Source organism: Homo sapiens, chromosome 17, assembly GCF_000001405.40.
Source record: "Homo sapiens chromosome 17, GRCh38.p14 Primary Assembly".
Classification (NCBI taxonomy): Eukaryota; Metazoa; Chordata; class Mammalia; order Primates; family Hominidae; genus Homo; species Homo sapiens.
Genome location: NC_000017.11, coordinates 68,551,760 through 68,566,668, shown reverse-complemented (window position 1 = coordinate 68,566,668; position 14,909 = coordinate 68,551,760). Strand labels below are relative to the sequence as shown.

At 43.9% G+C, this 14,909-nt stretch overlaps 1 protein-coding gene across 11 annotated transcripts in view; it reads left to right on the top strand.

The window, feature by feature from the left end:
• The window catches only part of FAM20A (FAM20A golgi associated secretory pathway pseudokinase), a 66,252-nt gene that overhangs the window by 34,699 nt on the left and 16,644 nt on the right, over nt 1–14,909 (top strand). For 9 of the 11 annotated variants that reach the window (XR_002958041.2, XR_934487.4, XR_001752543.3 and 6 more), the window contains 3 exons: nt 10,926–11,110; nt 11,842–11,892; nt 14,718–14,796. Coding sequence is in view for 6 of the 11 variants with exons in the window: in NM_017565.4 (NP_060035.2) it covers nt 10,926–11,110; nt 11,842–11,892; nt 14,718–14,796 (315 nt within the window). In the remaining 5 variants the exon portion in view is untranslated. Of the gene's footprint in view, nt 1–8,241; nt 8,340–10,925; nt 11,111–11,841; nt 11,893–14,717; nt 14,797–14,909 lie in introns of those variants that run through there. The other 2 variants (NR_027751.2, XM_006721959.4) reach the window with 1 other exon arrangement.

Below are 14,909 nucleotides of genomic sequence, written 5' to 3'. Positions count from 1 at the left end.
AACCCTTAGCTCTGAACTACCCAGTGATGTTCAAACTCATAGAGAAGTGTCTAATCCTGACTAACGCTTTTGCTGTTTTCCCTCTTTGACCCTGCTGTAGCATTGCCTAACTCCTGGGGAGTTCCTTTATTTAGAAAGTTTTCTTTGTACACAACTTGGAGCGAAATACTCTGAAAAAGACCATATTTGTCTTGGATTATAAACCATCAAACCCCTAAAATATTTTGTAACCCACTAATACCAAAAATATACTCAGGCCATAGTAGCTGCATATGTCAGTACTAGTGGAGAGCTTCCAACTTCTTTCCATAATCAGTGTTAAGTACCTTCTGTGCACAAGGTGCTGTGCTAAGTTTTGGACGAGGCACAAAGTTGAGTAAGACATTGCCTCTGCCCACCCTCAGTTAGAAGAAATGAGAAATATGCCTAAATCACTATTACTCAAAATATGGCAAGAACAATAAAAGAAATTGGAGTTTTATGAAAATTTGGGGGAGTGAGAAAGAAAGCTCACATCTGGTTGGTTGTAGGACTGGAAAAGATTCAAGGAGGAAGTTCCATGGGAGTTTGGCTGGGAGGAATTTCTGGAGATGAAAGTGTAGAAGAAGGCATTCCAAGGTGATGGAACAGCATGAGGTGGGAGGAAAGTACAGGAACACTAAACATAGAACTTAGGTAGGAGGGCAATGGGTGGGGAGGAAGATTTAAAGAAGTAAAACACTTGGGGAAATGCTAAAGTAGGAATTTGGATGAGAGTCCACGGACAACAAGGACCTATTGAAGGATTTCATAGGAGGGAAATAAGTGCTTGCAGCTGTGCCCTGGACAGTGAATTTGGCAGTGATGGAGGCCTGGAGTGGAGAAGGGAAGAAGACTGAGGTCGTGAATATCAGTAAAGAGACTATTCCAGGATCCAGATAAGAGGGTTAAGGCACAGGCAACAGAAAAAAAGGGGAAAATTAAGAGGTAATGGATGGCTGGGCATGATGGCTCATGCCTGTAATCCCAGCACTTTGGGAGGCAGAGGCAGGCAGATCACCTGAGGTCAGGAGTTCAAAACCAGCCTGACCAACGTGGTGAAACCCCATCTCTACTAAAAATACAAAAGTTAGCTATGCTTGGTGGCACACACCTGTAATCCCAGCTACTTGGGAGGCTAATGCAGGAGAATTGCCTGAACCCAGGAAGCGGAGGTTGCAGTGAACCAAGACCGGGCCACTGCACTCCAGCCTGGGTGACAGAGCAAGACTCCATCTCAAAAAAAAAAAAAAAAAAAAAAAAAAAAGGAGGTAATGGAGGTTAAACTCCAGGATTTAAAAATGATTGGGAAGAGGCAGGAACCAAAGATGTCTGTGCTTTTTAGCTGGGAGACCTTAGGAATGAACAGCTAGCTATATAGTTTTGGAGGGGAACAAATGGGGGTCTCAGCTTCCCCTTCTGATACTGCCCCACTTCTCCACTGTAACACCCATTGGAGAGGATTGCTGTGTCTATATTTGCATGGTCAGGTATCAAAATTACTCCAAAGGGGCCTGACCTCAATCCCCAAAGAACTGTTGAATATAGCAGCCATAAACCTTTGCTCTAAAACCTTTGGAGGCGGGGGATCCAAACCTATTCCTTCTATTTCCTCAAAACAAGGAAATTTAGGCACTGGGGAAGATTTTCAGACCTGAAGCCGTGTGGTTAGTGACTAGGAGCATGGGGAGCCGCCCAGTCTTCTGAGAACCTTCCAAATCCTCCCTGAACCCTGTGAGTCACAGCCGTCTCCCCTCCCTGTCTGGAGCACTCGCAGCACCCCAGTGGCTCTGCCCTCAGGGTCCCAGAAGAAAACAGGGTGCAGATTGGCACCCTCCTCACGCCCTCAGCTCCCATATCCCAGGAAGCAAATGGGACTCCAGGCTCCCGTTTAGGCCACCGAAGCTCCATTTCCAGGCTTCCTGCCATCCCCATGCCTGCAGACACCCACCTCCTAAGGCCCAAGCCCAGACCTGCCTTGGTTCTCCCTCTAATGCCTTGATAACCTGCCTATTGCTTAGTCTGCACACCAAGAGACCACAGAAAAGCTACAGCAGGATTCCAAGGTCCCTTGGATGATCTGCAGTCTCACACACATGCCAAGGCATGCAAATTGTGGTGGTGTCTAATGCAAGTATGACATACATGCCATTCCCTTGCTTATGGGATGTTCCAAGGGATTTTGCAGTGGCTTGCAAAGCTGGTTGTTTCTGGTTAGCCAGTAGAACAGTGTTTTTGAAAAAAATCATCATCCACCTGGTCTCTCATCTTTATAAGTGGTAAAAATCATGATTAAAAATAGCCACCATTCTTGGATGCCTGCTCTATGGTTGAATATTACTGCACTTAATTCTGATGGTATAGGAGGTAGTATCAGCATTCCCCATTTCCCACAACAGCTAAACTGAAGCTCAGAGGGCTTAAACTACTTTTTAAGCCTGTACCCTATCTTCAGTCTTCTCATTTGCAAACTGTGGATAGGAATATGTATCTCGTGGGGGGCTGCAGGATCACATGAGACATCGTGTTCATAGCAACGACACTAGCATTGATTTTTGATGCTCCACTGGTAAGAGGCAGAACCAGGTCCTTGTGACACAGACTCTGCATCCCTTTCTGTTACTGCACTACCGATTAGTTCTTGTTCGACTTGCTGTGCATTCTGTGACCCTCTCACTTCATTACAGCAGGGGTCGAACTATGGCATTGTCATCATTGTCACCAACCAGTGACACCAAAACAGAGCCCTGTGTTTGGCCTTTGTGCTGTTTATCCTTTATTTGGGACAGTCAAAGAAAGGTTAATGCTAGAGATGGAGACATCTGAGGTGGTCCTTGAAGGACTTCTGTAGGTGAAGACTGATATTGAAGTGGACTGACATCTTGGAACCATCTCAAGAGAAAGATTTAGGGAGATTTAAAGAGGTTAAAACAACAACAGTAACTCTAAATTAGTCTGGAGATGAAACAAGGGCACTGCGTGATGATGAAGGTTATTGAGAAAGATGCCTATCATGTTGACCCACCTATAAGATCATCTTAGGGAAGTGGTTTTGTTTGTTTAAGAAAAAAAAAAGCCCCTAAAAACTGCGGACATGGGGAACAAATTTCAGAGTCTTGCATGGACATCATGGGGCAGACGAGATTCTGTCCTTCCAGGGTGTGGGCTGTGAAAAGTGGAAGCTGACACCATCTCCCAGAGCCAGTGCAAGTGCATGGCACATCAGGAAGGGGTTTGCATCTTTCTTTTTTTTTTTTTTTTTTTGAGACGGAGTCTCACTCTTGTTGCCTCGGCTGGAGTGCAGTGTCACGATCTCAGCTCACTACAACCCCCGCCTCCCGAGTTCAAGCAATTCTCCTGCCTCAGCCTCCCAAGTAGCTGGGATTACAGGCGCCTGCCACCACACCCGGCTAATTTTTGTATTTTTAGTAGAGACAGGATTTCACCATGTTGGCTAGGCTGGTCTTGAACTCCTGATCTCAGGTGATCTGCCCGCCTCAGCCTCCCAAAGTGCTGGGATTCCAGGTGTGAGCCACTGCGCCCGGCTGTTTGCATGTTTCAAAGGGCAGCTTAAAAACTTAGTCCTAACCAGCTGGAGGAAAGGGATCCATTCCGTTCAGATAACTAAGTCCAAGTATGATGGCTGCATCCAGGCACTCAAACGATGCCTTTGAGCAACCTCTTGCCCTCTGTTGCTTACTTCACTGTTCAGTTTTCCTCAGTGGTGGCAATACCAGGCAGGCTTTCTGGTCATTGGCAGCTCTTCATGTACAGTCTTCTCATAGCTGAGAATCCCAGAAAATGAAAACAGCTCTTCTCTGCTAGCCTTTGAAAAATCTTTAAGAATCCTCAGATTGACACAGCTTGGGTCATTTGCACATGCCTGAATTAACCACAGGGACTCAAGGAGATGGGGCATTGTGATCTGAAATTGTGGGTCACAGATCATGCAAGTACAAGAGGAAATATTTTTTTTGCCAGGTCTGGGAAATGCAATTCAAATGAGAAGATGCAATGCTTAAAATAAAAAGGGGGGGGGATGGAAAAGGATGCTAGATGGGGAGACACATGGAGGAATGAGAAAGAGGTATGCAAAAACAACTTGCAGTGTAATTTGTTTAATTGTACAATTACAGAAATATATAAAGTAAAAATGAAGCTACTCATGCATACCCCCAAGGAGCACCATCATTGAGTTTGGTATGTGCTCTTTTCATGCACACTAAATGAAAGTGTCTATGTCTATATAAGCACCTGTATATGATATTTTTAGCAAAAAGAAAAAGACCCACTCTACACTGTTCTGAAATTAGACATCCTTCTACGTCACTACATATAGAGATATCTCTTAAATACCCCTGTCCTAGATATTTCTCTTTTCTCCAGTTTTTACAGTTACAAACAATAATGAACATCTTTGAACATATTTTCTTGCACAGTTGTGCAAATCATTCTACAGGATAAGTTGCAGAAGTGAAATTGCTAAGTCAAAGGGTACACTCATTACACGTTTTGAAAGGTACTGGGGGCCGGGCGTGGTGGCTTATGCCTGTAATCCCAGCATTTTGAGAGGCCAAGGCGGGTGGATCACCTGAGATGAGGAGTTCAAGACCATCCTGGCCAACATGGCGAAACCCCGTCTCTACTGAAAAAACAAAACTTAGCCAGGTGTGGTGGCATGCGCCTGTAAATCCCAGCTACTCGGGAGGCTGAGGCAGGAGAATTGCTTGAATCTGGGAGGCAGGGGTTGCAGTGAGCCAAGATCATACCACTGCACTCCAGCCTGGGTGACAGAGGGAGACTCTGTCTCAAAAAATAAAACAGAAAGAAAGAAAAAAGAAAGAAAGAAATGTACTGGGAAGTTACCCTCTAGAACGATGTGCCAACTACACGCTCATCAATAATTCAAGAAGACATTATAATAAGGTTACTTGATAAGCCTGTTTAAAACTTTTTAAGGTTTCCATTTTGAAAGCGTTTATATAATTGTAAAATTCATGTGGATAAGTATACAAGTTGGACTATATAGGAAAACTCTTTAAAAAAAAAAAAAAAAAAAGAGCAATCAAAAAGACTAGCCCCACCAGCTGTTAAAGTGTTTTATCAAGTTAAAAAAGTTCAACAGCATTGCCTTGGAATATGGCCAGACAGAGCATGAAACAGAATGGAGCTTCCAGAAATAGACCCAAATACAAATGGAAATGTTTTGTCTGACAAAGATGACATTTCAAATCAGTGAACTAAAAAATGAATTTGTTTAATAAATGATTGTTAAAGAACTAGCTAGTCATCCTGGAGGGCGGAAGAAAGGTGAACCCATACCTAACACATTTTATCTAAATAAATTCTAGACCTCTCAGATATTTAAATGGAAAAAAATGAAACCACAAAATACTAGAGGAAACCATGCTTTGGTTTGGTTTCTTATTCTTGTAATTTCAACGTGAGACTGGCCTAAGAATTTCACACAAGTTGGAGCCATGAATAAGTGGGTTGGTCATTTCAACCTTATAAAAAATCAACATTTCTGCATTTTAAAAAATCACCATAAGTGAAGTCAAAAGATTGACAACAAACTGGGAGAAAAATGCAAATCATATGAGAAAAAATGTAATTTTCTGAGTGTATAAACTCAATAGGAAAAAGACTAACAACTCAATACAAACATAGGCAAATGTAATGCAAATGACTCTTGAACAGAGGAAAAGATGTTCTGCTTCCCTCATAACAAGATAGAGATGCAAACTCAAAATGCACTGTGATACCATTTTTCACCTATTAGATTGACAAGGATCAAGAAGTGTCACTACACTGTTGGCAAAGCTTCTTGAATATAGTCTCATACAATGCTGAGGGAGAGGGATTAGCAGTATCTTGCCTTGGCAGAGGGTACTTTGGCAATATCAGTAACAATTATAAATGCACCTACCCTCTGACCCATCAACAACACTTATAAGAATTTATCATACCGATACACTCTCACACATGCAGAACGTCATATTTATAGGTAGAATGTCCCAGCATCGCTCGGCATAACAAAACATTACAAACAACCTAGAAGTTTGCAAGTAGATGATGTCTTCATCTATTCAGACTGCTATAACAAAGTAACATAAACTGATTGGCTTATAAACAAAAGAAATTTATTTCTTGCAGTACTAGAGGCTGGGAAGTCCAAGATTAAGCCACCAGCAGATTCAGTGTCTAGTGTGAGGACCTGCTTTCCGGTTCATAGATGAAGCCTTCTCTCTTCACATAGTGGGAGAGATGAGATAGCATTCCGAAATCTCTTTTTTTTTTTTTTTTTGAGATGGAGTTTCGCTCTGTCGCCAGGCCAGAGTGCAGTGGCGTGATCTCAGCTCACTGCAACCTCCACCTCCCAGGTTCAAGCGATTCTCCTGCCTCAGCCTTCCAAGTAGCTGGGACTGCAGGTGCATGTCACCATAACCCCAGCACTTTGGCAGGCCGAGGCGGGTGGATCATGAGGTCAAGAGATTGAGACCATCTGGCCAACATGGTGAAACCCATCTCTACTAAAAATACAGGATATTTTTTAGAAGGGCACTAATCCCACCCATGAGGGCTCTGCCCTCATGGCCCAATCACCTCCCAAAGGCCCCACTTCCTAATACTATCATACTGGGGATTAGGTTTCAACATATGAATTTAGGGGTAACACAAACATTCAGACCATAGCAGGTTAATGATGTGATTTTCATACACTGGAATATGATGTGATGAACTTAACAAAGAATGAGGAGCTTTCTGTGTACTGAATTGGAAAAATCACCAGAACCTATTGACAGGAAAATAAAGCAAGTTTCAGAACAGTGCGGATTTTATATTATCATACCTATAAAAATAAAAGTGGAAAAAAACAATGGGGAAAAACACCAGCAACATTAGTTGCCTCTGGAGATGGGAAGCGGGTTAACTCAGGGACAGGATGGAAGAGTCTTGACATTTAACATTTTGAGCCATGTAAATGCATTTGCTACTTAAAAAATAAGTAAAATCAAACGTTTTAAAATGCTCTTTTTTTCTGAAAGAAATACTCTTCTTTTTAGGAAACTATTTCCAAGGAAAATTCCAGTATTGCAGAGTCAGGAGCAAAGTGATTTCTACTTCTCCCCTGAAGATCATGTGATTTGTAACTAAGGTTTTATTTTTGTTGATGAAAGCAACAGCCATGAAGACTTTGTGCTTTATTTTTGTGATATATACTTTTTCTCTTTCCTTAAAAGGAAGGCCAGTGTTACCAGGCAATGGCCTCACTGTCCAACACAAATAGAAGGCAATACTATGGCATGGCTTTTGAGGGAAAATAAAAGTTTTATTGCAGAGTATGAATAGTTTTCTAGATCTAATAAAAAATATTACTTAGGGTTATTTTTAAAAGAAATGAAAGCATATGCTTAAAATAAGAGCATTTAGCTTTTGAGCCTTTCTGTGAACAAAGTACGTATTCGTTTTTTATTTTTGAGTACAAATTGCCACAAACTTAGACACTTAGAACAACACCCCATTTGTCCTATAGGTCAGAAGTCTGGGATAATGTTTCAGGCCGTTTTGCGTTGCTATAAAGAAATATCTGGCGAGGTGTGGTGGCTCACGCCTGTAATTCCAGCTCTTTGGGTGGTCAAGGCGGGCGGATCACCTGAGGTCAGGAGTTCAAGACCACCCTGGCCAAGATGGTAAAACCCCATCTCTACTAAAAATACAAAATTAGCCAGGCATGGTGGCATGCACCTGTAATCCCAGCTACTCAGAAGGCTGAGGCAGGAGAATCGCTTGAACCTGGGAGGTAGAGGTTGCAGTGAGCCAAGATTGTGCCATTGCACTCTAGCCTAGGCAACAAGAGCAAAACTTCGTCGAAAGAAGGAAGGAAGGAAGGAAAGAGAAAGGAGGGAGGGAGGAAGGAAGGGAAGGAAAAAAGAAATACCTGAAGCTGGGTAATTTATTTTTTAAAAAAAGATGTAATTGGCTCATGGTTCTGCAGGCTGTACAGGAAGCATGCTGCTTCTGGTGAGGGCCTCAGAAAACTTACTCATGGCAGAAGGTGGTAGAGAACAGGCACATCACATTGGCAAGAGCAGGAGCACAAGAGAGTGAGCGGGGAGGTGCCATATGCCTTTAAACATCCAGATCTCACATGAACTCTGAGCAAGACCTCATTCATCACCAAGGAGACGGTGCTAAGCCATTCATGAGGGACCCACCCCTATGTTACAATTACCTCCCACCAGGCCCCACCTTCAACACTGGGGACTACATTTCAACATGAGATTTGGAGGGGACAAACATCCAAACCATATCTGATGGTATGACTCATTTTCTGCTAGGATCTCACAAGATTAAAATCAAGGTGTTGGTTGGCTGCATTTTCGTCAGCAGCTCAGGGGTCCTCCTTCAAGCTCATTCTCGTTGTTGGTAGAATTCAGTTCCTTGCCCCCATTTCCTTGCTGGCTTCAGCCGGGAAGCATTCTCAGCTCCTCATGGTGGCTTTCTGGTCCTTCCACTTGACCCAACAATAGTGGGTCTTCAAAGCCAACAATAGTGTGTCAAATGCTTCTGATGCCCTGGATCTTTTGGACTTCTGAAAACAGCCAGAAAAAAAACTTTACTTTCAAGGGCTCATGCGATTCAATCAGGCCCACCTTGACAACCTCCCTAAATTCAACAATGCCATCAACGCAGCATAATCATGGAGTGAGAGTGCTTCATAGTCACAGGTTCTGGAAATGAGGGCATGGAATCTTAGAGGCCAGTTTTAGAATCCTGCTTACCATAAAATCATGTTTTCTTAGAGATACGTGACATGATTTCCCAAAGATTTTCAGTCTTGGGTTACGTTCATACAAGGAAAACGCCATGAATGGGGGTGGTGATTACCGTATTCTCCTCTGCACTGGGCAATCACGTCTGGGGATATTACACTTAATTCTGGGTGTCAGAAATAGGAGAGAAATGGTGAAGCAAAACTGCCTTAGTCTGTTTGGGGTGCCGTAACCGATACTATAAACTGGGTGACTTGTAAACAACAGAAATGTATTTCTCACAGTTCTGGAGGCTAAGAAGTCCAATACCAGGGCGCTGGCAGATTCCATTTCTGGTGAGGCCTCTTTTCCCGGTTCACAGATGCTGTCTTCTTGCTATAACCTGACATGGCAGAAGGGGTGAGGGGTTTCTCTGGGGTCTCTTTTATGAAGGCATTAATCCCATTCATGAGGGCTACCCCCTCATAACCTAATCACTCCCCAGAGGCCCCATCTCCAATACCATCACCTTGGAAGTTAAAATTTCAACATATGAATTTGAAGGAAACATAAACATTCAGTCCATTGCAATCACTAAGATCACAAATGGATTCAAATCCCTGTGGTATATTTTATTTCCTTCCCCATAATACATCTATTTTTATTTTGATAGAAAAGTAATTTTTTTTTTTTTAAAGTCAGAGTCTCGCTCTGTCGCCCAGGCTGGAGTGCAGTGGCGTGATCTCGGCTTGCTGCAACCTCCACCTCCTGGGTTCAAGTGATTCTCCTGCCTCAGCCTCTCAAGTAGCTGGGATTACAGGTGTGCACCATCATGCCTGGCTAATTTTTGTATTTTTAGTAGAGACGGGGCTTTATCATTGTTGTCCAGGATGGTCTCAAACTCCTGACCTCAGGTGATCTGCCTCAGCCTCCCAAAGTGGTAATTTTTAAAACTCTCCACCAATGAGAAAATTGGACACGCCCAAATCTGCCATGTTTGTTTTGTTTTTCACCCCACCCCAGACCCAAGGTATACTATCACAGTTTGAGAAACAGGGATATATAGGAACTGCAAAACCCTGCCCCTATAATCCCACCTACCTCTCCCAATCAGCTTTTCCCAGCCAGATGACATCATACTAATTTGCCTTCCCTTCCAACCCAGAGGCCTCCGTCTTCTCATTCAACAGTGCATTTATTCAACCTGCCTCTCTCATCCCCAGATACATCCGTTTCTTGCCTACCTCTCAAAGTGCTCATGTTGTCCTTAATGCAGGAGTACCCTCCCTGTCCCCTTCAAGCCAAACCACCCCCCCTCCCTGCCCCGTTCTTTAGGATCCAGCTGAAGTCTGCCTTCTTCACTGTGGTTGTCCTCAGGCTACTTCATCATAGATTCATCTTTTCCCTTCTCCAAAATGTTAAGGCTTTTCCATCTGAGCCACATGTTTAGCAGTTGATTTATAACAGCTTTGTATTTTGCTCTGGTTATTTCATAAACATACAACTTGTCTCCTAAATTACAGTCTACATCTCTAAATGGTAGAACCATCTTTTTTATTTTTCTCTTTTTTTCCTGGGAGAAAAGGCTACCCAAGCAGAACAAACAGTAAATGGCTCATTAATTCTTCTTTTCGTTTATAATCTAACTCAGCTTCCAGCCCCACTTAAAGATCTGCACCCTCTCTTCTTTTTATTCTCACCAATTGCCTTCACTCCTCTATCTTCTGATTCTTTGGAACATAAAATACTGGGAAATGTAAGATAGGGAGTTTTAATGAGAAAGTGCATAAAGAGGCCCACAGTCTCACCCTGAGATCCCAGATTATATGAGGCCCTAGTTTTATTCTTAGCAATCTGCCTTTTTTCCTTCCCAGGATTTGTCCTGGTTTGTAATTAAGTATTTGTGTATGATATTGTATAACTATGTGTGTGTTTTGCTCACTAGAGTGTAAGCCCTCTGAGGGTAAGAAAGGACCCCACAGGTGTTTTGCTCCCCAAGATATCCTAAGCACAGCTTAAAGCCTAGCCCTCATTAGATGCTTAATACACTTGTGGAATAAATGAAAGGATGAATAAAAAACTGCAGACAAGGTATCTTGGTGGGTCTTTGCATTCTTGTTCCTCTAATGAACAACTATCTGGCTCTTTCAGGCGACACAAGATGTACAGAGAGCAGATGAACCTTACCTCCCTGGACCCCCCACTGCAGCTCCGACTCGAGGCCAGCTGGGTCCAGTTCCACCTGGGTATTAACCGCCATGGGCTCTACTCCCGGTCCAGCCCTGTTGTCAGCAAACTTCTGCAAGACATGAGGCACTTTCCCACCATCAGTGCTGGTAAGGTTCATGGGATCAAGCAAGGGGGGACTGACTTTCTCCCAGAGAGTCTGGGTAAAGCATCCCAGGCTAGGCTCCAGAGTGGAACATTAGAGGCTTGACATGGACACCTGAGAGAAGAGGAACATATGCATTGATCTTTTTCCCTCTGGAAGAGATCCTATAGCGATAATCTCATCCTGACCCCATAAGGAGGTATGCTGTTGTTTGGTACACCTAAAGGAAGGTGATCGCTACCATTTATTGAGTGTTGCTTTTGAAGCAGGCGACATTCTCTTTCAACCAAAGACCTTATGGCATGGATATTACCATTGCCATTTTACAGACAGGGAAACTGAGACACAGAAAGGTTAAGTAACTTGGCCAAGGACCTAGGGGGTGGAGCTGGAATTCAAACACAGGCCTGCTGATACCAAGTCTGTGCTGTCAAGCACTAAGACAATCTAAGTGACACAGCAAATTATTAGCAGAGACAAAAGCAGACTCAGTCTCCCAGCCAGGTATTGCTGGAGTGCCCACTGAAGGGCTAGAGAGCAGGGGTCTGGGACACAGCAGGGAAGGAGGCTACAGTCTCCTGGGCTCCAAGAGACCTCCCACGGAGTGGTCAAGGGCCCCAGGCTACATCACAGTCTCCCCTCTGGTGATCTGAACCAGAGTCAAGGGACCTCCATGTTGTAGGCTCTCCCAGGAACAAGACTGGAAGTTCTCATTGCCCTTCTCCTCCTTTGCAGATTACAGTCAAGATGAGAAAGCCTTGCTGGGGGCATGTGACTGCACCCAGAGTAAGTGACCTAGCCCCACCCCCACCCAGCCTCTTCACCCTCACAGCTGTGCAAACCCCAAAACCCACTCCAGTGGCGACCTTGGGCAAGAGTGGAAGGAGCATGGCTCTCTGCCTAACCTCTGAGAACTCAACGTTTCTCCCCATCCACCCACAACAAGAAAAGGCACTTAAGGGGAAGGGTTGTATAGGCCCCGCTGGGCAATGCGTGGCCCAGGAAAAGCATCATCAACATCACTGAGGAGCTCATCAGAAATGCAGAGCCTCACTCTCTTTCTGAATCAGAATCTGAATCTTAAGAAAATCCTCAAGTGATTGGAGCACGCTTTCAAATTCAAGAAGCAAATGGTGCCCACTATTGACAAAATATTAGAATCAGCCGGGCTCAGTGGCTCACACCTGTAATCCCAGCACTCTGGGAGTCCGAGGCGGGTGGATCACTTGATGTCAGGAGTTCGAGACCAGCCTGGCCAACAGTGAAAACCCGTCTCTTCCAAAAAATATAAAAAGTTAGACGAGCGTGGGAGGCTGAGGCAAGAGATTCACTTGAACCTGGGAGGTGGAGTTTGCAGTGAACTGAGATCGTGCCACTGCACTCCAGCCTAGGCAACACAGTGAGACTCCAGCTAAAAATATATATATATATATATGTGTGTGTATACATATATGTGTATATATATGTGTGTATATATGTATATATGTGTGTATATGTGTGTATATGTGTATATGTGTATATATGCATGTGTGTATATATGTATATATGTATATATGCATATATGTGTGTATATGTATATATGCATGTGTGTATATATGTATATATGCATATATGTGTGTATATATGTATATATGCATATATGTGTGTATATATGTATATATGCATATATGTGTATATAGGTATATATGCATGTGTGTATATATGTATATATGCATAAATGTGTGTCTATGTATATATGCATAAATGTGTGTATATATGTATATATGTATGTGTATACATGTATATATGTATATATGTATATATATGTATATATATGTGTATATATATGTATTAGAATCACTGGGGGAGCTTTAAAAAGTGCTCCTGCCTAGCCTCCACCCCCAGGGGTTTTGATTCAAGTTCAGACGGTGAGGCCCAGGTGATTCTAATATAGCCAGAGTTGAGACTCACTAGGATAAGTGATTAATGGCATCAAAAAGCTAGGACTGAGAGTGGCAGAGCTCCCCTCCAGGAGTGCTGTGACCTGGTTATAGGTGGGTCTGGACCCTAAAGCCCTCAGGCCAGTCATCACCAGCCATGAGTGGCCCCATCCCTTTACTTCAATATGTGGAACACACATCAGAAATGTCTACATGTGACTACATCTGATGGTGTGTGTCAAAATGTATTAGTCCATTTTTACACTGCTCTTAAGAAATGCCTGAGACTGGATAATTTATAAAGGAAAGAGGTTTAATTGACTCACAGTTCTGCAGGCTTAACAGGAAGCATGGCTAGGAGGCCTCCGGAAACTTACAATCATGGCAGAAGGGGGAGGGGAAGCAAGGCACATCTCACATGGTGGCAGGAGAGAGAGGATGCAAAGGGGGAAGAGCCCCTTATAAAACCATGAGATCTCGTGAGAACTCACTATCACAAGAACGGCACAGGGGAAGCTGCCCCATGATCCAACCACCTCTCACAGCATCCCTCCCTCAGCAATTTGAGATGAGATTTGAGACAAGGGGATTACAATTTGAGATGAGATTTGGGTGGGGACACAAAGCCTAACCATATCACTAAGGTTTGAAAATAAAGGTTTAGGCCGGGCACGGTGGCTCACGCCTGTAATCCCAGCACTTTGGGAGGCCGAGGCGGGTGGATCATGAGGTCAGGAGATCGAGACCATCCTGGCTAACAGGGTGAAACCCCGTCTCTACTAAAAATACAAAAAATTAGCCGGGCGCGGTGGCGGGCGCCTGTAGTCCCAGCTACTCGGGAGGCTGAGGCAGGAGAATGGCGTGAACCCGGGAAGCGGAGCTTGCAGTGAGCCGAGATTGCGCCACTGCAGTCCGCAGTCCGGCCTGGGCGACAGAGCGAGACTCCGTCTCAAAAAAAAAAAAAAAAAAAAAAAAAAGGAAAATAAAGGTTTACAGGGCTCCAGGCTTCCCTTTTCTTCAGTTAAGCACCTGCCTTGACCATTTTATAGAACACAAGGTGAGTGAGGTATTGTCCTGACCCTCCAGAACCAGGGAGAGGGTAAGAGAAGTGAGGTGCCCAGGATGCAAAATTTAAGGAAGTAGCACTCCCTGCACCTAAGAAGCACTCACTTGCCAAGCCCTGGTCCCAGCCCAGGTGTACAGTCTTAAGTAGAAAGAGGCATAAACAAACTAGTCTAATATAACAGAAGGCATAATTAGAATCTACAAAGATGTAGTTGAAACACAAAGAGGAAAGGGTTCATTCTTCTTAGGAAAACATTCTTCAGGGTTTTCAGTAAATGTCTTCATTGTATTTTTTGCTCTTTTCCCATACCAGCAGAAAATGTACTTTTTTTTTTTCAAAATGGAGGTCTCACTATGTTGCCCAGGCTGGTTTCAAACTCCTGGGCTCAAGCGATCCTCCCGCCTTCACCTCCCAAAGTAAAAAGTACTGTCTTGAGCCCCTGGACACCGTCACTACGGCCTGACACCATGGCGTTTACCCTGCAGGCTATGGAGAGCACATCCTAGTCTTTAGGGTCTCATTACATAAGAGGAAAGCGAAGTCAGCTGGGCTTATTGAAGGAACAGAGTCACAAGCCTTGGCTGAGGCCCGGAAGCATGGTTAACTCACCCTTCTGCCTTTCACAGTTGTGAAACCCAGTGGGGTCCACCTCAAGCTGGTGCTGAGGTTCTCGGATTTCGGGAAGGCCATGTTCAAACCCATGAGGTAAGTGACTGCCTTCCTCCTTTCCACACCCAGTTGGGGTGGCCCTGGGAAGATTTGGACCAAAAACTAATAAAAGTGACCTAAAGTCTTTCTGCCAGTTATTCAGAGATTCT